This window comes from Homo sapiens, chromosome 17 (genome assembly GCF_000001405.40).
Source record: "Homo sapiens chromosome 17, GRCh38.p14 Primary Assembly".
NCBI classification, from domain to species: domain Eukaryota; kingdom Metazoa; phylum Chordata; class Mammalia; order Primates; family Hominidae; genus Homo; species Homo sapiens.
The window spans coordinates 77,337,137-77,362,558 of record NC_000017.11 but is presented as its reverse complement, the minus strand read 5'-3'; the positions used below and the strand labels follow the sequence as shown (position 1 = coordinate 77,362,558).

Sequence of the window (25,422 nt, the reverse complement as noted above, 5' to 3'; positions counted from 1 at the left end):
GCTTCATGGAGTAGAGACTCAATAAGGGAACAAAATAAATTAGAGAATTCTTTTGCTGCAAGGAACCTAGACAAGGAGCACCCAGTCAGAGGAGGAAGGAAGAGACCGGCAGCAGACCTCCCTTGCCCCAGCAGTCCTGCAAGCCAGATGGGCCAACTTCTCAGCACAGCTGTTCTCCAGCACAGAGAAATTTCTCACCTTCAGCAACAGGGTGGGAACATTCCCAGACAGGGCCACGGCTACTCTGGTCACAGGGACCACGGAGTCTGAGTCTCTGTGGCTTGTCCCATCCATGTGGCCACAGATCTTGAGCACACATCTGGAGCTACAGAGCCCAAAGGGCAGGGCAGGGCAGGGAATCTGCCTGATTGGTGAAGGCCACCCCACCATCTGGAGTACAGGCCTCTGCCCCCAAATCCACATGGAGCCTCCGATACGGGGCATCGATTTCAAGGAGGTGAATGTGGACATTCAAGGCCAGTGAATGGCCAGGTGTCAACACATCGACAGGCCCTTGGCCCCTCCCCCAACACTGAGGGTAGGAAACAAATGGGGTCTACATGGTGCATATGGTCTCCAGAGCCAGCAAGGTGTGCAAGACCCGGCAGCTGAGAAAACTGACCACTTGGCCGGGCGCGGTGGCTCACGCCTGTAATCCCAGCACTTTGGGAGGCCGAGGCGGGCGGATCACGAGGTCAAGAGATCGAGACCATCCTGGCTAACACGGTGAAACCCTGTCTCTACTAAAAATACAAAAAATTAGCCGGACGCGGTGGCAGGCGCCTGTAGTCCCAGCTACTCCGGAGGCTGAGGCGGGAGAATGGCGTGAACCTGGGAGGCGGAGCTTGCAGTGAGCCGAGATAGCGCCACTGCACTCCAGCCTGGGCGAAAGAGCGAGACTCCATCTCAAAAAAAAAAAGAAAAGAAAAGAAAAGAAAACTGACCACTCGATTATGAATAAGCTAGAACATTTATCCAGAAAAAAAAAACAGCTTTGTCCAATTGGGGACCTAAAATCTCAGGACCTATGTCCCCTTCCTATAGAGCCACATCACTTTCCTAATGCCCACCCTCGATCCCACCTGCCTGCCAAGCTTCAGGTATCCAGAACACAGCATGACAGCAAGCTCTGTGATTCCCACAGGTTTTCCCAACCTACCCCAGGCATAGCTACATCTTTAGTTCTGAGCAGCAGGGAGTGACATGCAGATGGTCACCCAGACAGAGAAAGACCTTCAAAAGGAGGGCAGGCTCTGTCCCGCAGGCAGTACCTATTGACACAGACATCAGTAGGCAAATCTTTCAGGAAGATTTTCATTAAGAAAGAACGAAAGAGGCCCAGTGCGGTGGCTCACGCCTGTAATCCCAGCACTTTGGGAGGCCAAGGCGGGTGGATCACCTTAGGTAAGGAGTTCGATACCAGCCTGGCCAATGTGGTGAAACCCCATCTCTACTAAAAATACAAAATTTAGCTGGACGTGGTGGTGGGCACCTGTAATCCCAGCTACTTGGGAGGCTGAGGCAGGAGAATCACTTGATCCCAGGAGGCAGAGGTTGCAGTGAGCCAGGATCACACCACTGCACTCCAGCCTGGGGGGCAACAGAGAGAGACCCCGTCTCAAAAAAAAAAAAAAAAAAAAAAAGGATGAAAGACAAACAAGGCTGAAACTGGCAGGCTGGTACATTTCTAACAACCTACCCTAGGCCGGGCGCAGTGGCATAATGCCAGCATTTTGGGAGGCCGAGGAGGGCAGATTGCGAGGTCAGGAGATCGAGACCATCCTGGCTAACACGGTGAAACCCCGTCTCTACTAAAAATACAAAAAATTAGCCGGGTGTGGTGGCGGGCGCCTGTAGTCCCAGCTATTCTGGAAGCTCAGGCAGGAGAATGGTGTGAACCAGGGAGGCGGAGCTTGCAGTGAGCGGAGATCGCATCACTCCACGCCAGCCTGGGCGACAGAGCGAGACTCCGTCTCAAAAAAAAAAAGAAACAAAAAACAAAAACAACAAAAAAAAAACAACCTACCCTAGTAGGGAGCAGGAGGTAAGGCCTGATATGTAGTGTTTGCCAATTCCTGTGGTGTAAACACACCCACTGTGGCAAATTTCAAGCTACAAACAGGACATCACTAAACACAGAGTTGGGAAAAGACATGCACACCACTGGATAAAACGCTCAGGCAGCTACGGCTTATTCTTCCCTGGGAAGGGGGGTATGTCTAGAATGCCCCTTACTATGGAGAATGACTGTGGCAAATAGGGTTCAACTGGCAGGCTGACCCAATCAACTGCCCACTGATGTGATGTGGGGCAGGTTTCTGAGGCTGCCTCCATGCTCAGGGAAGAAGGTGGCCATGTGGCTACAGACCTGGCCCTGGGTTTGCTTTTTTTTTTTTTTTTTGAGACAGAGTTTTGCTTTTTTTCTCCAGGCTGGAGTGCAATGGTGTGATCTTGGCTCACTGCAACCTCCGCCTCCTGGGTTCAAGCAATTCTCCTGCCTCAGCCTTCCAAGTAGCTGGGATCACAGGTGCCCACCACCATGCCCAGCTAATTTTGTATTTGTAGTACAGATGGGGCTGTTGGCCAGGCTAGTCTCAAACTCCTGACCTCAGGTGATCCACCCACCTTGGCCTCCCAAAGTGCCAGGATTACAGGCATGAGCCACTGCGCCCACCCGGGTTTGCTATCTTGAGGATACATCTGGAGTTATGTGCTCATGATTTTTTTTCCATTTTAAAACTTTGATTTTATTTTATTGTTTTTAGAGACAGGTCCTGCTCTGTCACCCAGGCTGGAGTGCAGTGGTGCAATCATAGCTCACTGCAGCCTCGAACTCCTAGGCCCAAGCGATCCTCCCATCTCAGCCTCTCGAGTAGCTGGGGCTGGGTCTACAGGTGCCACCACACTCAGCTACATTTTATATTTTTTTGCAGAGACAGGGTCTTGCAATTTGCCCAAACTGGTCTCAAACTCCTGGCCCCAAGCAATCTTCCCACCCTCAGCCTCACAAAGTGCTGGGATTATAGATGTTAGCCAGTGCACCCAGCAGCCATCATGATTGACTGGTGACGTCTGTTCCAGCTCCAGGATGAAAGAGCAGTAGCACTTCAGCCAAGCATTTGTGGCTCCTGATTGGAAGACGTTTTTCTTGCCCCTTAAGCACAGTGCAAATGCCACCTCCTTGGTAAGCTCTTTTCCAATCTTACTTTCTCCCTGGCATAGGGCCTGCCACAGCTCTGTTCATACAAAGAGAGCTATCAGTGCATGTGGTACAGATGCTAGTTGTTTCCCCAATATCTGAGCTCCCTTTTTTCTATAGTAACTGAAGTTTTGGTTGTGCACAGGGAAGCCCAGCTGAAGAATACATTGCTCAGCCTCCCTGATGACAGGAGCGGCCATACAACTGGGTTCTGGCCAGTGGGAAGGAGCTGAAGTGTTTAACTTTCAGGTCATGCCCTTAAAAATAAAGAGGGACACTTGCCCTTTCCCCTCTCCCTTCTTCCCTTCCCTCTGGCTGGAGTGCAGACATGACGGCAGGAGCTGGAACCATCTCAGCTCAAGAGATGGAAGCTGTGTGTCGAGGATGCACCAAAGGAATGAACTAGGTCCGGGCTGTCCTGGGCCCCCATAACGACTGACACTTGGACTGGGACGTGGGTCCGAGTGCTGCTCAGCCTCTGATGTTTTAGCTTTTGTTACACAGCCAGATGGTGCCTTGACTAACTCAAGGTATGGCCATCATCCCACCTGTCTGGCAGGGCAGGGGTCTCATCTTTATACGCTGAGCCCCTGGCAGAATCTGGTGCAATATACATAGTTAAAGCAAAATGAACAGGCTACTTTAACCAAGGTTTATTTTGTGGGTTGGTTTTGGCATTTGGTTTTAATTTTTATTTTATTTTATTTATTTATTATTTTTGAGACAGAGTCTCACACTTGTTGCCTAGCCTAGAGAGGAGTGGTGCGATCTCGGCTCACTGCAACCTCCACCTCCCAGGTTTAAGTGATTCTCGTGCCTCAGTAGCTGGGTAGCTGGGTTCTCCTTGAGTAGCTGGGACTACAGGTGCACGCCACCATGTCTGGCTAATTTTTGTATTTTTTGTAGAGATGGGGTTTTACCATGTTGGCCAGGCTGGTCTTGAACTCCTGACTTCAAGTGATCCACCCGCCTTGGTCTCCCAAAGTGCTGGGATTACAGGCATGAGCCACCGTGCCTAGCCAGTTTTGGTATTTGGAACTGGAAAATAACAGTCTGAGCTTCAGAGGGGACAAACACAAACATGAGGCAGAAGGAACAGCAAGTAAACACGTGCCCAGAGTAGGCTGGGCTGCTCACACCCCCAAAACATCGCCAGGTGCTGAGGCCTGGGCTCTGTGTCAGACTCCTGGGTGCAGACCCCGTGGGGACATTCACTGGGTAGTGGGACTTTTGGCAAGTTACACCACCTCTCTGAGCTTCCGTTGACTAAGCTGTCCATTGAGAACAATACCTAGATTGAAAGGACTCATAATAACATGTGAAAAGTGCCTGGCCTAAAATAGGAGCTTGGTAACTGGTAGCCCTCATTATTTATAACATACAGTTTAACGCCCTCGTTTCATAGGAATGAAAACAGGACCTAGACAGGCAAAATGATTTGCTGAGGGTCGCACAGTGTTAATGACAGAGCCAGGATTAGGGCTTGGGGTTCTGACCCCTCCTGCAGCACCCTGGCTTTGTGAGAAGTGGTCCTGGGTGAATACAAGGAGTGAGGAGTTGGTGAGAAATTTTGAAAATGAAGCTGGGTGTGGTGGTGGATGCCTGCGGTCCCAGCTACTCAGGAGGCTGAGGCAGGAGGATTGCTTGAGCTCGGGAGTTGGAGGCTGCAGTGTGCTATGACTGCACCACCGCACTTCAGCCTAGGTGACCTAGCAAGATCCCATCTCAGAAAAGGAAAGGAAAGGAGAGGGGAGGGGAAGGGAGGGAATTTCTGACAGTGATTCCAGAGATAATCAGGATGACCTGAAATTACTTTGAAATGCACCAAAAAATAAAAATAAAATGGATTCATGGCCAGGCGAAGGAGGGATAGATGGACGGTGAGGTGATAAAGCAGGTGTAGCTTGGTGTTAGTGGTAGAATCTAGGTGATGGCTGAATGTGTTCCCTGTAAAATGCTTTCAACTTGACCATGTGTTTTGAACATTTTCACAACAGAATGGAGGGAAGAGAAAGGTAAGAGGGAGCCACTGTAGCTGTTGCAGCAGGAGCAGACCCCAAAACACCATGCATCAGACTTTCAGCCCTGCCCCTGTGGATGTGTCCTTGTTCTTCTTCTTGGGATTTAAGGACATTTAATGAGCGCATGTGTCTTCAAGCCCCCTTGCTTCCCCATCTGCCCCCACACCTGGAAGATTCCACAGGTGGCGTGGGCCAGCTCTCCATCCTGCCCTTTGTGCCCTCAGTGCATGACAGACACTGAGTGAGTGTCAGCCCCTTCCTCCGACACCTTGTCTGCCTGTCCAGAGAGGTCCCCCCACAGCCCAGCCACCAGGTTGATGCTTCTGGACGTCTGGCCGACAGCTTCCTCAGCTGTGTTCTAGTGACCTGGCAGGTGTCCTGAGTCATAAATAAGGCCACTAGTGGATGTTTCCAAAGCTTCCCCTACCACGGCGCCTTCCCCTCTCCCACCAACAGTCCGTCATGACAGCCAGCCTGCATGAGCCTTTTCCTAGGGTTGTGTCTCCTGAGGCTGCTCAGCGCCTGGCCTGCCAGAGCCCACCAGACAGGGTGCCCACCCTTTCCAGGCCTGAGTTCCCACTTAGAGAACCACTTACAGAAGGACAATGGAGAAAGGCAGTTGGGGCACCAAATGGAGTGTGCCTGCATGTGGGGGGGGAGGGGAGGGGGAGGGAAAGCAGGAAGAGAAGATACAAGAGGAGAAATAAGAACAAGAGGAAACATAGAAGGAGGAGGAGCAGCCCCCTTCATGGGGGTGGACTCTGTGTCCAGTTCTCTACCAAGGACACTACATTTATCACCTCGCTTGGTTCCCACGAATACCTTCAAGGTCGCTCCCCCCTGGCCCCCATTTTTCCATCAGGAAGCGGAGGCACAGAGTGAGAAAGAGCTGCCCAAGGCTCCCAGGCAGTTCACGGAGCCACTGGGAGTTACACTCAACCCGTCCAACCCCACGTCCCTGTTCTCAGCCACCACAATAAACCACCAAGGTTCCACAGCCACAGGAGCTCAGCCCGGAGTCCCCACCGGGTCTCCCAAGGCAGGGAGATGGGGCTGGAGGCCATGCCAGGTGCACGGTGCCCAGAGCTGCTTAGGAAGCCTCGCGGTGCGGGCTGGGCACCAGGCAGTGTCTGTAGGATGGAGAAATGAATGAGGCTGAGACACAGTGTCGCCTCTTCCAAACGTGACTTTCCCTGAGTCTCTGTGATTGGTCACCTGAGAGGGCAGCCCTGGTCTCCTGGCGTTTATGTCCGGGTCTAGAGATGCCCTCCCCAGCCAGGTTTTCTTCTGAGGATGGAAACTCAGAACCTCACCACAGGAGGAAGAGCTGGGAGCACTTCATTTTTTTTTTTTTTTTGAGACGGAGTCTCGCTCTGTCGCCCAGGCTGGAGTGCAGTGACGCGATCTCGGCTCACTGCAAGCTCCGCCTCCTGGGTTCACGCCATTCTCCTGCCTCAGCCTCCCGAGTAGCTGGGACTACAGGCACCCGCCACCACGCCCGGCTAATTTTTTGTATTTTTAGTAGAGACGGGGTTTCACCGTGTTAGCCAGGATGGTCTCGATCTCCTGACCTTGTGATCCGCCCACCTCGGCCTCCCAAAGTGCTGGGATTACAGGTGTGAGCCACCGCGCCCGGCCAGGGAGCACTTCTAAGACCTCTGCGGAGGGTTGCTCAGGTCCAAGTCCTTCACCATGGAAGGCCTTTCAGATGCGGCAGCCACGGTGCATGGGTTGAGGGTCTCCACCCACCAAGAAGCAGGAGCATCTGATGCACATTCAGCCCACGATCCCCATCCACTTGGGGGCTGTGCCTGCAGCCACGTGACACAAGGGAACAGCCACAGCAGTGGGCCACAAAGAGAGTGTGGGCTAATGTGCAGGGGCAGAATCTTGACAGCCTCCCATGGGCTGGCAGCAGGGAGGGGCACATTTGCACAAATCCTACACGCACAGCCCTTCACACACATGTGGCTGACAATCACCCACACATCCAAGACGGGATCTGGCGCACAGCCCACCAGCAACAGGCGCTGGCAATCCCCAGCTGCTCCCCTGCTGCGGCGCAGACACCATTCAAGGTGGGATGGAGAGAGTCACTGCTTCCAAGGTCACACACCCCAAAGGGAGATGCTGGGCCACGGAATGAAAACAGGAGGATCAGCCAGAGTCATTGGCTCTGAGTCACACAATGGGACATATAGGCCCATTCATTCCACATTTTTATTGAGCAACTACAACGAGCTAAGCTGCACAGATCATCCAAATAATCGGCACGTAGAAAAGCATTCTAATCCTTTCCTGGCCCTGACGTGATGGGAAGAACTTGGACTTCTGGAGTCACAGAGCTGGATGGAAATCCTGGCTCAGCCAATTATTGGCTGGGGGAGCCCGGGCAAGTGACTCAAGGCCTCTGAGCCTGTTTCCTTGTAAAAGAGCAGTGCTCGGGCCTGCCACGCCAGGTCAGGGCAAGATGACTGAAGAGCAAGCGCCCAGCACCGGCCAGGGGTCAACGTCCTCAAGGACGCAAAGTGCAACAAGCAGGCGTCACGATTGCACCGCCCTCCACTGTCTGTGGCAAACACACAAGCAAAGATGGCTTCGCGCCTGCGCTGGGGGAGGCAGGGAATTGGCCTCAGGAGGACGCTGGCCCCCTCAGCTGCTTCTCCCAAAGCTTCTTGGGAGGAGAAATGATCCACCCCAGCTGCTGGGAGCCTCAACCCACAAGCAGGCCTGTCCACCCGGCAGCGGCCGCATGCAGGCAGGAGGGGCTCCGGCAGCCTCCAAGAGTGAGGGGTCGTTCAGCCCTCCCCCAGCTGGAAAGGAGGCTCCAGGCTGGGCAGGAGCATTTGGGGAAATCCAGTCCCTGGAGCTAGGTCATACCAGGGAGATGAGGCTGCTAGAAGCTTCCTTGGTGCCCACAGCAAAACACAACCAAAGTGGGACCCAGACCCCAACCAGCTCAAGGCCTGACTCACATCAGAGGGAAACTAGCGCCTGCCGCATGAGTGAGCGTTCATGTGCGTGTAAGGTAGAGACAGACCTTGGGCAAGTCCCTTTATCCCTCTACGCCTGTTTCCTCATCTATAAAACGGGGTAACACTACCTACTTCACAGGGTTGTCATGAAACAAACATGCATCAATATTTGTAAAGTGCTGAGAACAGCATCTGGCACAAAACAAGAGCGACAGATTTGCTAAATAAGTAAAAAATAAGACACAAGCTTAAAGCAGAGCTTGGTACACCGTGAGCATCAAGAGCTGTGCTTCTTGACCCTTCTTCTCTGTGGAGATCCTCCCACCAGAAGTGGGAGGGACTGCCGAGGCTGGAGCCTTGTTCTAGGGACCCTTGTGGGGAGTCTTTCAGCCTAGAGGGATCTGTCTCACGGACTATACCTGCCTCGGGTCTTCGTGTTCTTGTGCATGTGTGCATACATGTGTGCACACACATGCAATGTGCGTGTGTGCATTCTCATGGACTTGTGACAATCTGCACACACATGCCCAGAACCCATCTGACACAGTGTTTCATTAAGATGTTGGAGCTCCGATGAATGGATTGCGGGGCTGAGACACTGTTTCCACAGGAAGCTGCCTCAGCAGCAAGCCTCCTGGTCCTCACAGACAACCAAAAAGAATGGAGCCTGCTCTCATTCCCTGCCCTAAAAATGATGCATAGTGTGTGGGGCCTGATGCTGGAGGCCCCTCTAGTAGACATATCCCCAATAACATTACATTCTGAAATTCAAGTTGTCGTAAAATAAGACAAGCAAAGATGGTATTGGCAGGGACCTCTGAGGTCCCTTCTATGCACTCCTGAACAACTCCCACATGGCCCCTGCTTGAATGCTTCCAGGCATGGGGAACTCACTACCTTGTGAAATAGCCTGTTCCACCGTCCTCAAGTGAACATTGTGAGAAAAACACCTCTTTCTGTAAAGAGTCAAGCTCTACTCGCTAGCACCTTCCAGGTACCTGGTACTAGCTTCATATCTTGGGGGAACTCAAAATAAATGCTCCCTTTCTACCAGACAACCCACCAACTACTTGGAGACAGTGGCTGTAGCCCCTTGCTCCATGCAGCCACCCCATCCAGTCTCCTTCTGGAATCTCTGACGTGAACACAAGCCCTCTTGCCACGCAGGTCCCTCTCCTGGGCCCCTCACCCACCTGCGCACACCCTGGAGAGGCCGTTCGTTCTGTGGGTGAGACCCATTGTGGGTTGAATTGTGTTCCCCCAAAAGACATATGCAAGTCCTGACCCCCCAGTACCTATGAATGTGACTTTATATGGACATAGGGTCTTTGAAGATGTAATTGGGTTATTTGAGGGCATATTGAATCAGAGTGGGCCCTAAATCCAATGACAGGTGTCTTTATAAGACAGAGGTAGGCTGGGCACAGCAGCTCATGTCTCTAATCCCAGTGTTTTGGGAGGCAAAGTCTCATTGCCTGAGCGCAGGAGTTTGAGACCAGCCTGGGCCCTCGTCTCTACAAAAAAATTAAAAAATTAGCCAGGCATGGTGGCGTGCGCCTGTGTCCCAGCTACTTGGAAGGCTGAGGTGGGAGGATTGCTTGAGCCTGGGAGGCTGAGGCTGCAGTGAGCCATGATCACGCCACTGCACTCCAGCCTGGAGGACAGAATGAGAACCTGTCCCTAAAAATAAATTAAAAAGACAACAGAGAGGGCAGTTTGGACAGAGACACAAGAAGAGACACAGGGTGAAGGCCAGGTGGGGGGTAGGCCGAGCTGCAAGCCGAGGAATACCAGGGGTTGCTGGCCGCCGCAGAGCTCGGAGAAAGGCATGGGACAGTCTCCCTCGGAACCCCCAGGAGGAATGAACCTTCAGACACCTCGGTCTGGGATTTCTGGCTCCAGAAACTTTAGGGAAGACATTTCGGATGTTTTTGTTTTTGTTTTTGTTTTTGTTTTTGAGACGGAGTCTTGCTCTGTCACCCAGGCTGGAGTGCAATGGCGCGATCTCGGCTCACTGCAACCTCCACCTCCAAGGTTCATGCCATTCTCCTGCCTCAGCCTCCTGAGCAGCTGGGACTACAGGCACCCACCACCACGCCCGGCTAATTTTTTTTTTTTTTTTGTATTTTTAGTAGAGACGGGGTTTCACCATGTTAGCCAGGATGGTCTCGATCTCCTGACCTCGTGATCCAACCGCCTCGGCCTCCCAAAGTGCTGGGATTACAGGCATGAGCCACCGCACGTGGCCGATTTCGGATGTTTTGAGTCACCTCATTTGTGGTCCTTTGTTATGACAGCCGCAGGACAGTAACACAGGGCCTCAGCAGGGTGGCCCGGCAAGGGCCCCTCCCCCACGGCAGCCCTTATTTTGTCTCATCTGCAGGGTCACCCAGATGCTCACCCCGGCTCTGGTCAGCAAGTGTCAGTGCATTTTCCCACGTCCAGCAGTAAGGGCAGCACCGCTGCTGACCAAGCACCTGCCATGTCGGGGCCCCTGTGTGGTCCTGGGGCTCCTCTCTCCTGTTCACACTTGGCAGCTCAGTTCCCTTCTCTGCACCTCATCTGATGCCGGGGCTCTGGGCAAGCCTGGGGGACCTGTGCTTTATTTCACAGATTTCCCAGCTGACTTCATCAGCCCCTGCACAGGGCCCGCCTGAAGGGCCGCTGGGCTGGGCGCCAACCAGAGTCCTCAGCAGCAGCCTTCTCGGCTCTCTGACCTTGGCCCATGTCTCAGGGGCAGGGCCTCCAAGGGCCCTGGGGCCGCCTCTGAGGTCAGCCTTCCTGCTGACCGCAGCTCACACAGAGGAGGGCCTAACCTTGAGTGTGGCCGCCCGTGACCTTGAGAGATGCCCAGAGCTGCAGACGTGTCTCCCAAGCCCTCCAGAGCCCGGGACAGGAGCCACTCAATGTCCCCAGTGCCATAGGCAAAATTTGCTCTTCTCAACATAAACTGTCCCCAGCCCCACTTAATGTTCCCTTCAACGAGCAGCAACAAAAACATGGTTTTCTGCCAAAGGTGGGGCCTACAGTTTCCCAGAACCCGGTTTCCTGCCAGGCCTAGGTACAATCCACAGGAGTGCTCGCCCCTGACTCGTGTGTGTGTGTGTGTGTGTGTGTGTGTGTGTGTGTGTGTGTTGTGTGCACGCGCACATGTGCCTGCGCAAGTCCCTCCATGTGCAGCCTTGGGAAGGGTGGAGAGGCTCACGGAAATTCTTTCTGGCACTTAGTAAGCCAGAAAAAAGGAAAATGAGATCTGTGTACACATGTGCAAGTGCATACACAGCACACAGGCACACACATATACACACTCAGCACACACCACACAGGTCCACACGTGCACACATGTGCAGGCACACACCACACAGGTCCACACGTGCACACACATGGGGGCACACAGCACACAGGCACACACAGGCACACACACCCCCCTGCAGGAAAGCCCTTCCTTGTCTTTCACTCTGCAGGGTCCTCAGGCTTCATGAAACAAGATTGAATTTTGGAAGTTTGATAAAAGGTCTGTCTGGAGCATTCTGGTCATCTCCACCAGCCCTTCTAGTTGTGGAAGGCATGCCTCGTGGCATCTACCCACCTCCTGTTCCCACCCTCACCCCCGCCCCCGTTTCCTCCTCTCTGCTCCTTTAGCCCACATGCTGCCTGCTCCAATCCCAACCTTTGCACTTGGACGGGAATTATTTCCTCTGTAGAAGGGTGTAATGCATGTGGGGACACACACACACACACACACACACACACTGCACTGGAGGAGAGAAGAGAGGCAGAGCTTCTTCCAGATCTAGAGCTCTAGCGAGTGACGGGATTTCTCCTAGAGAACACGTGCAGAAGTCTGCGTTACTGGAAGAAGACACTACCCTGACTCACACTCTCTCTCCTCTCTCTCGTCTCTCTCACAGAGAAGGAAAGGCCCCAGCAAACAGTGGTCATGTGGGCCTCCTGCATGCCACTGGTAGCCCCCCAGCTAGGACCACCTCTCCTTTATCCCTGGAAGCACAAGAACAGAGAGAAGGGTGAGTTTCTGCCTTTGGGGGCTCCTTTCTGCACCCCTCTGGAGCTAACCCCAGGGCTGTGGGCTGCACAGGAAGGAGGGCTCAACAGGCTTCCCGCCCAACCCTGCCCCTCTAGTGAGGAGCCGACCCACCCTGTCTGCAAAAGATGCTGGTTGGGACCTGATGCTGGGCAACTTGAGGAGAAGAGAAGGGGGACAGGGGCTGAGGCCAGGCCCCTGGCCCTGAAACAGCCATAACTCCTGGGGTAGAGTCCAAGGGTGCTAGGCTGGAGACCCCACATTCGGCCAGCTGGCAGTCACCACCCTGGTCTAGCCAGTGGTCTAGGGCACCATAGCCACCCAGACCAGGAATTCCACTTTTCTGGACTGTACTAATGAGGAAGGTTGAGCCTGTAGGTTTTACACACTCATGGCAACTTCAAGGCAGAGAGGCCACTGCCAACTGAGGGCCACGGGCAGGAGCTTTGTGAGCCCATCAGCAAGTCTGGAAGATCAAGGCTCCTGGTCACAGAGAGTAGCTGCTATCTGGTCAATTCTGCAGAAAACATTATAGCTCTGGACAAAATATTTGAAAGAACAAAATAACAACAGCCTGGAGTCAGTATAGAATATCTCAAGTAGGTAGAAGCTGGAGTAGAGTCTACACCTGACAGAGGGGAATAAAACTAGATAAGTTTCTGGTTTCTGGAGGCTTTTTTGCCCAGAGGTAGGTACTGAGCAATCAAACTTGGATAAAAAGTCTTAAAAGCATCCAGGGAAAAACAACATGTGGTCTACAGGGGAATAGCTAGATGAATGCTGATTCCTTGACAGAAACAACGGAGGCCAAAGACACTGGAACCCTATATTTTAAAGTCCTGAAAGAAAAAACTGACAACTCAGAATTCTATAACCAGTGAAATTATGGTTCAAGAATGACAGCAGGCTGGGCACAGTGGCTCACACCTATAATCCCAGCATTTTAGGAGGCCAAAGCAGGCAGATCACTTGAGGTCAGGAGTTCGAGACCAGCCTGGCCATCATGGTGAAATCCCATCTCTACTAAAAATACAAAAATTAGCTGGGTATGATGGCACATGCCTGTAGTCCCAGCTACTTGGGAGGCTGAGGCAGGAGAATCGTTTGAGCCCGGGAGGAGAAGGTTGGTGAGTTGAGATTGGGCAGGAGTTTTGAAATCACACCATTGCACTGTAGCCTGTGGGGAGACAGAGTGAGACTCTGTCTCAAAAATAAAAATAAAAATAAAAAAAGAAAGAATGACAGCAAAATAAAGATTTGCAGATAAGTGAAAATGAAAGGGAATTAGCTGTCTGCAAACCTGCACTACAAAAACCGTGAAGCAAGTTCTCCAAGATCATGGGAAATGAGACCAGATGGGAACTCAGCTCTTCAGGAAGGAATGAAGAGCACAGGATATAGCAAATACATGGGCAAATAGAAAAGATTCTGTTTTACTTTTAATTTCTTTAAAATGCATGGGGCTGTTTAAAGCAAAAATTTCCTTATTGTATTGTCTAGTTTACAATGTGTATGGATGTAGTAAATATCTAACAACCATCACATACAGGATGGAAAGTGGTAAATGAACCCATAGGATTGCCTAGTTCTTACACTTTTTTTCCATGAAGAAAAACAATGTTAATTCTAAGTAGACTGTGAAAAGCTAAGAATGTGCAATAGAATCTATAAAGTAACTACTAAAATAGCAATACAAAGAGATACAATTAAAAAGTCAAAACAGGCCGGGCTCAGTGGCTCACGCTTGTAATCCCAGCACTTTGGGAGGCCAGGGTGGGCGGATCGCCTGAGGTCAGGAGTTCGAGGCCAGCCTGGCCAGCATGGTGAAACCCCGTCTTTACTAAAAATACAAAAATTAGCCGGCCGTGGTGGCAGGCGTCTGTAATCCCAGTATACTAGGGAAGCTGAGGCAGGAGAATCACTTGAACCCAGGAGGCAGAGGTTGCAGTGAGCCAAGATCATGCTATTGCACTCCAGCCTGGGCAACAGAGTGAGACTCTGTCTTAAAAAAAAAAAAAAAAAAAAAACATAAATTAAAATAGAATTCTAAAAAATACTTAATTAACATAAAAGAAGCCAAGAAAGCAAGATGAAAGAAATAAATATCAAAGAGCAAGGTAGTAGCTCTAAACCCAGTCATATCTATAACTATGTTAAACAGAAATAGCCTGAATATTCCAATTAAAAGGCGGAGGCTGTCAGAATGAATAAAATAGCAAGACTCAACTATATACTATCTACAAAAGATGCTGTTTCAGTATAAACACAGGTTGAAATTTTCTGTTTGGAAAAAGACATACTGATGCTGCTTGAATGATGATGGAGTTATGTCTTGACAAACCCATCATAAGTGGAAAATAAATATCATCTCAAAAATGCACTTAATACATCTAACTTACCGAACATTCTAGCTTAGCCTAGCCTACCTTAACATGATTAGAACACTTACTTCAGCCTACAGTTGAGCAAAATCAACAAACACAAAGCCTATTTTATAATAAAGTGTTGACTATCTCATGTAAGTTATTGAATACTGTACTGAAAGTGAGAAACACAATGGTTTCACACATACTTAAAGTACAGTTTCTACTGTATACATACCACGTTCGCACCATGGTAAAGTTGAAAAACTGTAAGTCAAACCATCATAAGTTTCTCCATAAGCCTCTCCAGCCTTCTTATGCATCCCAAACAGCATGTTTAAGAAGGCTGGAGAGGCTACATAAATATCAATAAAGTTGAGTCCAAGATAAAATTATTACGAGATAAAGGAATACATTCATCATGGTTAAATGATCAGTTCATCGAGACACCATTATAATCATAAATGTGTATGCACCTAACCAAAGGAGCTTCAAAATACATGATATAAAACCTGAAAGAATTAAAGGGAGAAATGGGCAATTCCACAATCATAGGTGGAGACTCTTTTTTTTTTTTTTTGAGACGGAGTTTCACTCTTGTTGCCCAGGCTGGAGTACAATGGTGCAATCTCGGCTCACTGCAACCTCCACCTCCTGGGTTCAAGCGATTCTCCTGCCTCAGCCTCCCGAGTAGCTGGGATTACAGGAGCCTGCCACCACGCCCAGCTAATTTTTGTATTTTTAGTAGAGACAAGGTTTCACCATGTTGTCCAGGCTGGTCTCAAACTCCTGACCTCAGGTGATCCACCCGCCTTGGCCTCCTGAAGTGCTGGGATTACAGGTGTGAGCCACTGCGCCTGGATGCATAGTTGGAGATTTTAACACCACCTCAGTTCATTCAGGATGTTAAAACAAAATGCCTTAGGCTGGGTAATTTATAAACAGATTGTAGTGCTCACAGTTCTAGAGGCTGGGAAGTCCAAAATCAGGGTGCTCAGTGTCTGGTGAGAGCTAGCTCCCTGCTTCAGAGATGTCCTTTTCCTGCTGTGTCCCCACATGGCAGAAGGGACTAATCCCATTCACGATGACTCTGCCCTCATGAGCCAATACTTCCCTGATGCCCCAATTCCCAACACCACTGCACCAGAGATTAAGCTCCAACATATGAATTTTGGGGGACACAAACAGGTAGGCCATAGCAAACACCATTCTCTCAACATCTGAGAAACAAGCATCAGATAATCTGAAGAACACTGGTAACTAGCAATTGACCTAATCAGCAGTTATAAAGCTCTATACTCAGGAAGTCTAGAATATATATACATATTTTTTTCTCAAGTGAAAACAGTGCATTCACCAAGATACACATTCTGGGCCATAAGTCTCAAATTTTAAAAGCATGCAAAATATGCTTGTCTGGCCAAAGTAAGATTAAATTAGAAATCAATAGCTCTAAGATACTCAGAGGAGCCTTGACTATTTGCAAATTAAACAACATACTTCTAAATAACCCATGAGTCAAAGAGGAAATCACAAGAAAAATTTTACAATATTTCAAATGAAATGATAATGAAAACACAGCATACTAAAATACGTAGGCTGAAGCTAGTGCTTAGAGGGAAACTGTAAGTGCTTATATTAGAAAAGAAGTAAAAAAAAAAAAAAAAAAAAAAAAAAAAAGACCTAAGGATCTGCTTTAAGAATCTGGAAAAATGGGCCAGGTGCAGTGTAGCTCACGCCTGTAATCCCAGCACTTTGGGAGGCCAAGGCAGGTGGATCACCTGAGATCAGGAGTTCAAGACCAGCCTGGCCAACATGGTGAAACCCTGTCTCTACTAAAAATACAAAAATTAGCTGGGCATGGTGGGCATCTCCAGCTACTTAGAAGGCTGAGGCAGGAGAATGGCTTGAACCCGGGAGGTGGAGGTTGCAGTGAGCCTAGATCATGCCACTGCACTCCAGCCTGGGCAACAGAGCAGGATGCTCTCTCAAAACAAAACAAAACAAAACAAAACAAAACAAAACAACAAAAAAAACAAAGAATCTGGAAAAATATGCCAGTTACCCATGTATTGCCTCTTAACTCTGCATACATCCTGCCAGGCCCCGCTCCGTGATACTGGACCGAGGCCTTATGAGTCTTTCTCCTTGGCCAAATACAGTCATGTCAGGCTCTATCCACAGGGGACAACACTGTGGGGAGCTGCCAGGCCTTGCTGAGGTAGCAGCTTCTCTTCCTGGTTCCAGGGTCTCTTTTTCCTCTGAAGGCACAGCTGCCAGTGGCGTGTGCCCAGTGGGGCCTGCTCTGTACTGAGTTTCTCCAGCACCCCAGCTCTAGCCCAATGGGACCTCAGCAAACTTCTCAGACACCCAGCTCCTGCCCACCCATACCCTCTAGTAGGTTTCTCGGCTACCCAGTAAGCTGATCCTGCAGATCCACTCTTTCTACACCTTCTGGCAAGAACCTTTTTGTTACCAGTAGGCTGCAGGTTTCTGTGGCAGTCACACACTCTCCAACAAGGCCTGAACGTAAGACGTGGCAAGGTGTGGAGGACGCTCCGAGTTCTTGGTTTCTTTTCCATCAACCCCAGTGGTAGTAACTGCTTCTGTGTGTTTGCATACATGCCTTAAAGTATCCATCACAGAAAATTTACCATTTTAACCATTTTCAGGTGTGCAGTTTGGTGGCATGAAGCACATTCACACTGTTGTGTAACCATCACCACCATCCATCTCATCTTCCCAAACTGCAATTCTATCCCCATTAAACACCAACTTCCCATTCATTCTCCCTTCCCCCAGCCTCTGGCAACCTCCATCCCACTTTCTGTCTCTCTGAATTTGACTACTCTAGGGACCTCATAAAAGTGAAATCATACAGTATTTGTCTTTTCATGTCTGGCTTCTGTCACTTAGCATGTCTTCAAGGCTCATCTATGCTATAGCATGTGTCAGAATCTCCTTTTTTTTTTTTTTTTTTTTTTTTTTTGAGGCAGTCTTGCTCTGTCGCCCAAGCTGGAGTGCAGTGGCATGGTCTCGGCTCACTGCAACCTCCACCTCCCTAGTTCAAGCGATTCTCCTGCCTCAGCCTCCCTAGTAGCTGGGATTACAGGCACATGCCCCCATGCCTGGCTAATTTTTGTATTTTTAGCAGAGACAGGGTTTCGCCATGCTGGCCAGGCTAGTCTCAAACTCCTGACCTCAAGTGATCTGCCCACCTCGGCCTTCCAAAGCGCTGGGATTACAGGCGTGAGCCACCACACCTGGCCTCTCCTTCCTTTTTAAGGCAGAATAATATTCCACTGTACAGATGGACCACATTTTGTCTGTTCATTCATCCGCTGGTGGACACCTGGGTTGCCTGCATCTTTTGGTTATGGGAAAAGTGCTGCTACAAACAAGAATGTAGCACACCTGTTCAAGTCCCTGCTGTCAGTTCTTTGGAGTATACATCTAGAAGTGGAATCACTGGATGTTATGGTCATTCTGAGTTTAATTTTTTGAGCAATTGTTATATCTTTTCCACAGCAGCTGCACCATTTTACATTCCCACCAGCAGTGCACGGGGCTCCAATTTCTCCATATCCTTGCCAACACTTGCTGTTATCCATGTTTTGGCTAACAGCCACCTTAAAGGGTGTGAAATCATATTTTATTGTGGCTTTGATTTTCATTTCCCTGATGATTAGTGACACTGCGCATCTCTTCCTGTGCTTCTTGGCCATTGGTATGTCTTCTGTGGAAAAATGTCTGTTCACTGGGTTGTTTTTTTTTGTTTTGTGGCTTAGTTGTAGGAGTTCTTTATATATTCTGGATACTAGTCCTTTATCGGATATACGATTTTCAAATACTTTCTTCCATTCTGTGGATTTCCTTTTCACGCCATTGGTAGTATTCCTTGATGCACAAAAGTTTTAAGTTTTGGTGAAGTCCAATTTATCATTTATTTCTTTTGTTGTATTTTCGGTGTCACATCCAAGAAAGCATTGCCAACTCCAATGTCACGAAGCTTTCCTCCTATGTTTTCTTCTAAAGTAGCTGCTTCTCATATTTGCTCTTTCTATACTCCTTAGAGTCCTCTTGCATAAGGCAAAACAAACTCTATCTCTCCACTCTCATTCACAACACTCAGTGCTTCAGCTCTGACACCAGATGTGTGGTTTCCTCCCGCCGACCCCCAAGCAATTCTCCAATACTCAGCAGTCCCCAACTGGGTGTCCTGCAATTCAGTTCAATTCTGACACCAACCAGAGTTAGTGCAGATCCCATAGGTTAAGGGTTCCATCTCACAAGACTGCCCTCAACTTCAGAGATCAGTCGCAAGTGGTAAGACACCAGGTTACCCATAACTTCTGTCTGACTTGGCTACAAATTTGAGGTCTTCACAACTCCCTTCTCAGGTTCAATAATTTGCTTGAGTGACTCACAGAACCCAGGAAATCAGTTTACTTAAAATTGCTGACTTATTACAAATGATATTTCAAAGGATACAAATGAACAGCCAACTGGAAGAGATGCATAAGAAAGGTATGAAGGAAGCGGCATGGAGCTTCCACGGGAGGGTACACTGCCCTCCCAGCACCTGCAGGTATTCAACAACCTGAAACTCTACAAACCTCATCCTTTTGGGTTTTCAGGGAGGCTTCACTACATAAGCATGACATGAAATCTTTGGCCATTGATGATCAACTCAACCTTCATCCCCTCTTGCCTCGCAGGAGGTGGATGGGAAAGGCTGCAAGTTCTAGCCTTCTAATCACAAGGCTGGGTCCCCTGGCAACCAGCCCTTATCCCCAGGCTGTCCAGGAGCCTCCAGCCACCAGTCGCCTCCTTAGCAAACAAAAAGACACCCATCACTTTGGAGATTTCAAGAGTTTTAGGAGCTACATGCCAAACAAAGTTGGGGGACAGAGACTAGATAGATAGATAGATAGATAGATAGATAGATAGATAGACAGACAGACAGACAGATACATTGATTTTTGAGACAGAGTCTCCCTCTGTCATCCAGGCTGGAGTGCAGTAGTGCAATCTCGGCTCACCACAACGTCTGCCTTCCCGGGCTCAAACTATCCTCTCACCTCAACCTCCCAAGTAGCTGGAACCGCAGGCACACACCGCCACGCCAGGATAATTTTTTGTATTTTTGGTAGACATGAGGTTTCACCATGTTGCCCAGGCTGGTCTCAAACTCCTGAGCTCAAGGGATCCGCCTGCCTCAGCCTCCCAAAGTGCTGGGATTACAAACATGAGCCACTGCACCGAGCCCAGCCCAAATACATCTTTCTTATATCACAATGTCACCCCTTTGTGATCCCTTTAATAGTTAACTACCTCTTACAGTTAAGAACACTTTATATTACAAGTTGCTATTCAAATTGCCGGTGTGGTTTTTGTTTCCTGACTGGGCCCTGACTAATGCGCTGAAGCAAGTACAAGGAAGGAAGTAATGAAGATAACAGAGAAACTCAAGGAAATGGACACCAGAAAAGGGGAGTCCAATGCTGGTTCTTTAAAAAGATCTAGATTGATAACCTCCTAGCCAGGCTGCTGATGAGAGGGAGATGGCGAACATAAAGTCACAATAAAAGGAATGAAGTGTTTTCCTTACGGATCCTACCGACATTACAGTGACAAGGAACACAGGCACACCTCATTTCATTGTGCTTCACAGATACTGCACTTTTTACAAATTGAAGGTTCGTGGCAGCCCTGCATCAAGTAAGTCTGCTGGCACCATTTTTCCAACAACATGTTAACACTGTGTCTCTGTGTAGGAGTTTGATGATTCTTGAAATAGTTCAAACTTTTTCATTATTATTATATCTGCTATGGTGATCTGTGATCTCTTTTTTCTTTTTTCTTTCTTTGTTTTTTTTTTTTTGAGACAGAGTCTTGCTCTGTCTGGAGTGCAGCGGCGCGATCTCGGCTCACTGCAAGCTCCGCCTCCCGGGTTCACGCCATTCTCCTGCCTCAGCCTCCCGAGTAGCTGGGACTACAGGCACCCACCACCACGCCCGGCTATTTTTTTCGTATCTTTAGTAGAGACGGGGTTTCATCGTGTTAGCCAGGATGGTCTCAATCCCCTGACCTCATGATCTGCCCGCCTCGGCCTCCCAAAGTGCTGGGATTACAGGCGTGAGCCACTGCGCCCGGCCCTTTTTTTTTTTTTTTGAGATGGAGTCTCGCTCTGTTGCCCAGGCTGGAGTGCAGTGGAGTGCAGTGGTGTGATCTCGGCTCACTGCAACCTCCACCTCCCAGGTTCAAGCGACTCTTCTGCCCCAGCTTCCCCAGTAGCTGGGACTACAGGCACCCGCCACCACGCCTGGCTAATTTTGGTATTTTTAGTAGAGACGAGGTTTCACCATGTTGGCCAGGCTGGTCTCAAACTCCTGACCTCAGGTGATCCACCTGCCTCGGCCTCCCAAAGTGCTGGGATTACAGGCATGGGCCACCGCGCCCAGTGATCAGTGATCTTCAATGCCATTATTGCAGTTGTTTTTGGGGCATGACGAGCCACATCCAGATAAGACAGTGAACTTATTCAATAAACGTTGTATGTTCTGACTGCTCCACTGACTGGCTGTTCCCCGCTCTCTCTCCCTCTGCTCAGGCATCCCTATTCCCTGAGACTCAACAATATTGAAATTAGGCCAATTAATAACCCTACAATGGCCTCTAAGTGTTCAAGTGAAAGGAAGAGTCACCCGTCTCTCACTTTAAATCAAAAGCTAGAAATGATTAAGCTGAGTGAGGAAGGCGTGTCGAAAGCCAAGACAGGCAAAAGTGAGATCTCTTATGCCAAATAGCTAGCCAAGTTGTGAATGCCAAGAAAAAGTTATTGAAAGAAATTAAAAGTGCGATTCCAGTGCACACATGAAGAAGAAGAAAGCAAAACAGCCTTAATGCTGATATGAAGAAAGTTTGAGTGGTCTGGATAGAAGATCAAATCAGCCACAACATTCCCTTAAACAAAAGCCTAATCCAGGGCAAAGCCCTAACTCTCTTCAATGGTATGAAGGCTAAGAGAAGTGAGGAAGCTGGAGAAGGAAAGTTTGAGGCTAGCAGAGGTCAGGTCATGAAGTTTAAGGAAAGAAGCCATCTCTATAATGTAAAAGTGCAAGGTGAAGCAGCAGGTGCTGATGGAGAAGCGGCAGCAAGTTACCCAGAAGATCTAGCTCAGAGCACTGATGAAGGTGGCTACACTAAGCAACAGAATTTCAGCATAGATGTCCCACCTTCTACTGGAAGAAGATGTCATCTAGGATTTTCATAGCTAGAGGGGAGAAGTCAATGCCTGTCTTTAAAGCTTCAAAGGACAGGCTGACTCTCATGAGAGGCTAACGCAGCTGTTGACCGTAAGTTAAAGCCAATACTCATTGACCGTTCCAAAAATCCTAGGGCCCTTAAGAATTCTGCCAAATCTATTCTGTCTATGCTTCAGAAATGGAATAACAGGCCCTACTTGACAGCACATCTGTTTACAGCATGGTTTACTGAATATTAAAAACCCATTGAGGCCTGGTGCGGCAACTCACGCCTGTAATCCCAGCACTTTTGAAGGCTGGGGCGGGGGGATCACTTGAGGTCAGGAGTTCGAGACCAGCCTGGCCAACATGGTGAAACCGCATCTCTACTAAAAATACAAAAATTATTCAGGCATGGTGTCACACGCCTGTAATTCCAGCTACTTGGGAGGCTGAGGCAGGAGAACCGCTTGAGCCCAGGAGGCGGAGGTTGCAGTGAGCCGAGATCGTGCCACTGTACTCCAGCCTGGGCAACAGAGGGAGACTCTGTCTCAATTTGAAAAAAAACAAAAAAACAAAAAAGGGCCAAGCACGGTGGCTCACAGCTGTAATCCCAGCATTTTGGGAGGCCAAGGCAGGCAAATCACCTGAGTTCAGGAGTTCAAGACCAGCCTGGCCAACATGGTGGTGAAACCTCATCTCTATTAAAAATACAAAAATTAGCCAGGCATGGTAGTGCACACCTGCAGTCCCAGCTACTCAGGAGGCTGAGGCAGGAGAATCACTTGAACCTGGGAGGCGGAGGCTGCGGTGAGCTGAGATAGCGCTGCTGCACTCCAGTCTAGGCAACAAAGCGAGACTCTGTCTCAATTAAAAAACAACAACAAAAAAAAAACAAATAGGGCCCGGTGCAGTGGCTCATGCCTGTAGTCCCAATGCTTTGAGAGGCTGAGGCAGGTGGATCACCTGAGGTCAGGAGTTCGAGACCAGCCTGGCCAACATGGTGAAACCCTGTTTCTACAAAAAATACAAAAACTAGCCAAGCATGGTGGTGTGTGCCTGTAATCCCAACTACTCAGGAGGCTGAGGCACAAGAATCACTTGAACCCGGGAGGCAGAGGTTACAATGAGCCGAGATCATGCCACCGCATTCCATTCTGGGTGACACAGCGAGACTCCATCAAAAAAAAAAAAAAATCATTGAGACCTACTGCTCAGGAAAAAAGAATCCTTTCAAAATATTATTGCTCATTGACAATGCACCTTGTGACCCAAGAGCTCTGACGGAGATGTATGTAAAGATGAATGTTGTTTTCATGCCTGCTAATGTAACACCCATTCTGCAGCCCATGGAGAAGGGATAAATTTGATTTTCAAGTCTTATTATTTAAGAAATATATTTTATAAAGCAGTATCTGCCATAGTTAGTGATTCCTCTAATGGATCTGGGCAAAGTAAATTGAAAACCTTCTGGAAAGGATTCCCCATTCTAGATGCCATTAAGAACACTTGTGATTCACAAGAAGAGGTTGAAATATCAACATTAACAGGAGTTTGGAAGAAGTTGATTCCAACCCTCATGGATGAGCGGTTTAAGACTTCAGCAGAGGAAGTCACTGCAGATGTGGTGGAAATAGCAGAGAACTAGAATTAGAAGTGGAGCCTGGAGATGGGACTGGATTGCTGCAATCCCATGATCAAACTTGAACAGATGAGGAGTTGCTTCTTATGGATGAGCAGACAAAGTGGTTCCTGGAGATGGGATCTACTCCAGGCGAAGATGCTGTGAACATTGTTGAAATGACAACAAAAGATTTAGAATATTACATCAACTTATTTGATCAATCCGTGGCCAGGGTTGAAAGAATTGACTCTAATTTTGAAGGAAGCTCTATTGTGGGTAAGATGCTATCAAACATAATGCGTGCCACAGAAAAATCTTTCATGAAAGAAAGAGTCAACCCATGTCAAAAACTTCAGTTAAGAAACTGCCGGCCAGGTGCAGTGGCTCACGCCTGTAATCCCAGCACTTTGGGAGGCCAAGGCAGGTGGATCACCTGAGGTCAGGAGTTTGAGACCAGCCTGGCCAACAAGGTGAAACCCTGTCTCTACTAAAAATACAAAAATTAGCCAGGCGTGGTGGCAGGCACCTGTAGTCCCAGCTACTCGGGAGGCTGAGGCAGGAGAATTGCTTGAACCCGGGAGGCAGAGGTTGCAGTGAGCTGAAATCGTGCCACTGCACTCCAGCCTGGGCAATAGAGCAAGACTCTGTCTCAAAAAAAAAGAAAAAGAAAAAAGAAACAAAGAAACTGCTGCCACAGCTACCTTCAACTTTCAGCAACCACCACCTGGTCAGCAGCCATCAACATTGAGGCAGACCTTCTACCAAGAAAAAGATTATGGCTTGCTGAAGGCTCAGATGATTATTAGCATTTTTTAGCAAAAAGACATAATGATCTTATACACTTTAATAGACTATAGTATAGTGTAAACATAACTTTTTTCTTTTTTTTTTGAGATGGAGTCTCGCCCTGTCACCCAGTCTGGAGTACAGTGGTGTGATCTCAGCTCACCGCAACCTCCACCTCCCAGGTTCGAGCAATTCTCCCACCTCAGCCTCCCAAGCAGCTGGGACTACAGGCATGTGCCACCACACCCAGCTAATTTTTGTATTTCTAATAGAGATGAGGTTTCACCATGTTGGCCAGGCTGTTCTCAAACTCCTAACCTCAAATGATCCGCCCACCTTGGCCTCCCAAAGGGCTAGGATTACAGGCATGAGCCACCATGCCTGGCCTAAACATAACTTTTATATGTACTGGGAAACCAAAAAGTTTGTGTGACGTGCTTTATTGCAATATTTGCTTTATTGCCGAGGTCTGGAAGCAAACCCTAGGTATGCTTGTATTACGAACAACTTTAAATGAGTAAATTCAACAACTTACCTGAAAGGGACAAATTCCTTCAAAGTACAACTTACCAAAAGTAAGACAAGGGGAAGTAAAAAAACCTGAATAACTCTTTCTATACATTAAATTGAATTTGTGATTAAAAACAAACAATCACCTTTCCTAGTAGAAAATTCTAGGTCCAGACGGTTTTCTTGGTGGATTCTATCAAACATTTAAGGAAGAAACAACATCAACCTTATGAAAACACAGAAAACAAAGAGAAGGGAACACTTCCAAACTAATTTTATGAAGCCAAAATGAGGCTGACAAAGACATTACCGAAACAAACTAACAAACAAAGAAAATACCACACCAATATCCCTCATGAATCAACACGCAAAAATCCTTAAAAACTGGGCAAATCAAATTTAGCAATATATAAAAAGGATGATATCTCATAAGCAAGTTGGACTTCTTCCAGAAATGCAAGGTTGGTTCAATATTAAAAAATCAGGCCTGCACAGTGGCTCACACCTGTAATCTCAGCACTTTGGGAGGCAGAGGTGGGAGTATTGCTTAAGCTCAAGAATTGCAGACCAGCCTGAGCAACACAATGAGACCCCATCTGTACAAAAAATTTTAAAAATTAAAAATTAGCTTGGCATGGTGGCATGTGCCTATAGT

At 48.6% G+C, this 25,422-nt stretch overlaps 1 protein-coding gene across 4 annotated transcripts in view, besides 2 other annotated features; it reads right to left on the bottom strand.

Moving 5' to 3' along the window:
• Window positions 1-25,422, bottom strand: part of SEPTIN9 (septin 9) — a 219,098-nt gene that overhangs the window by 138,038 nt on the left and 55,638 nt on the right. The window lies entirely within an intron of this gene.
• Window positions 5,535-6,036: an enhancer, noted in NCBI's record as "H3K4me1 hESC enhancer chr17:75352605-75353106 (GRCh37/hg19 assembly coordinates)". NCBI's record gives its function as "activates a minimal SCP1, AML or CMV promoter by ChIP-STARR-seq in primed H9 embryonic stem cells {active_cell/tissue: H9 hESC(primed)}" and the evidence as "EXISTENCE:reporter gene assay evidence [ECO:0000049][PMID:30033119]".
• Window positions 8,298-8,367: an enhancer, noted in NCBI's record as "active region_12829". NCBI's record gives its function as "activates an Ori minimal core promoter by ATAC-STARR-seq in GM12878 lymphoblastoid cells {active_cell/tissue: GM12878}" and the evidence as "EXISTENCE:reporter gene assay evidence [ECO:0000049][PMID:35858748]".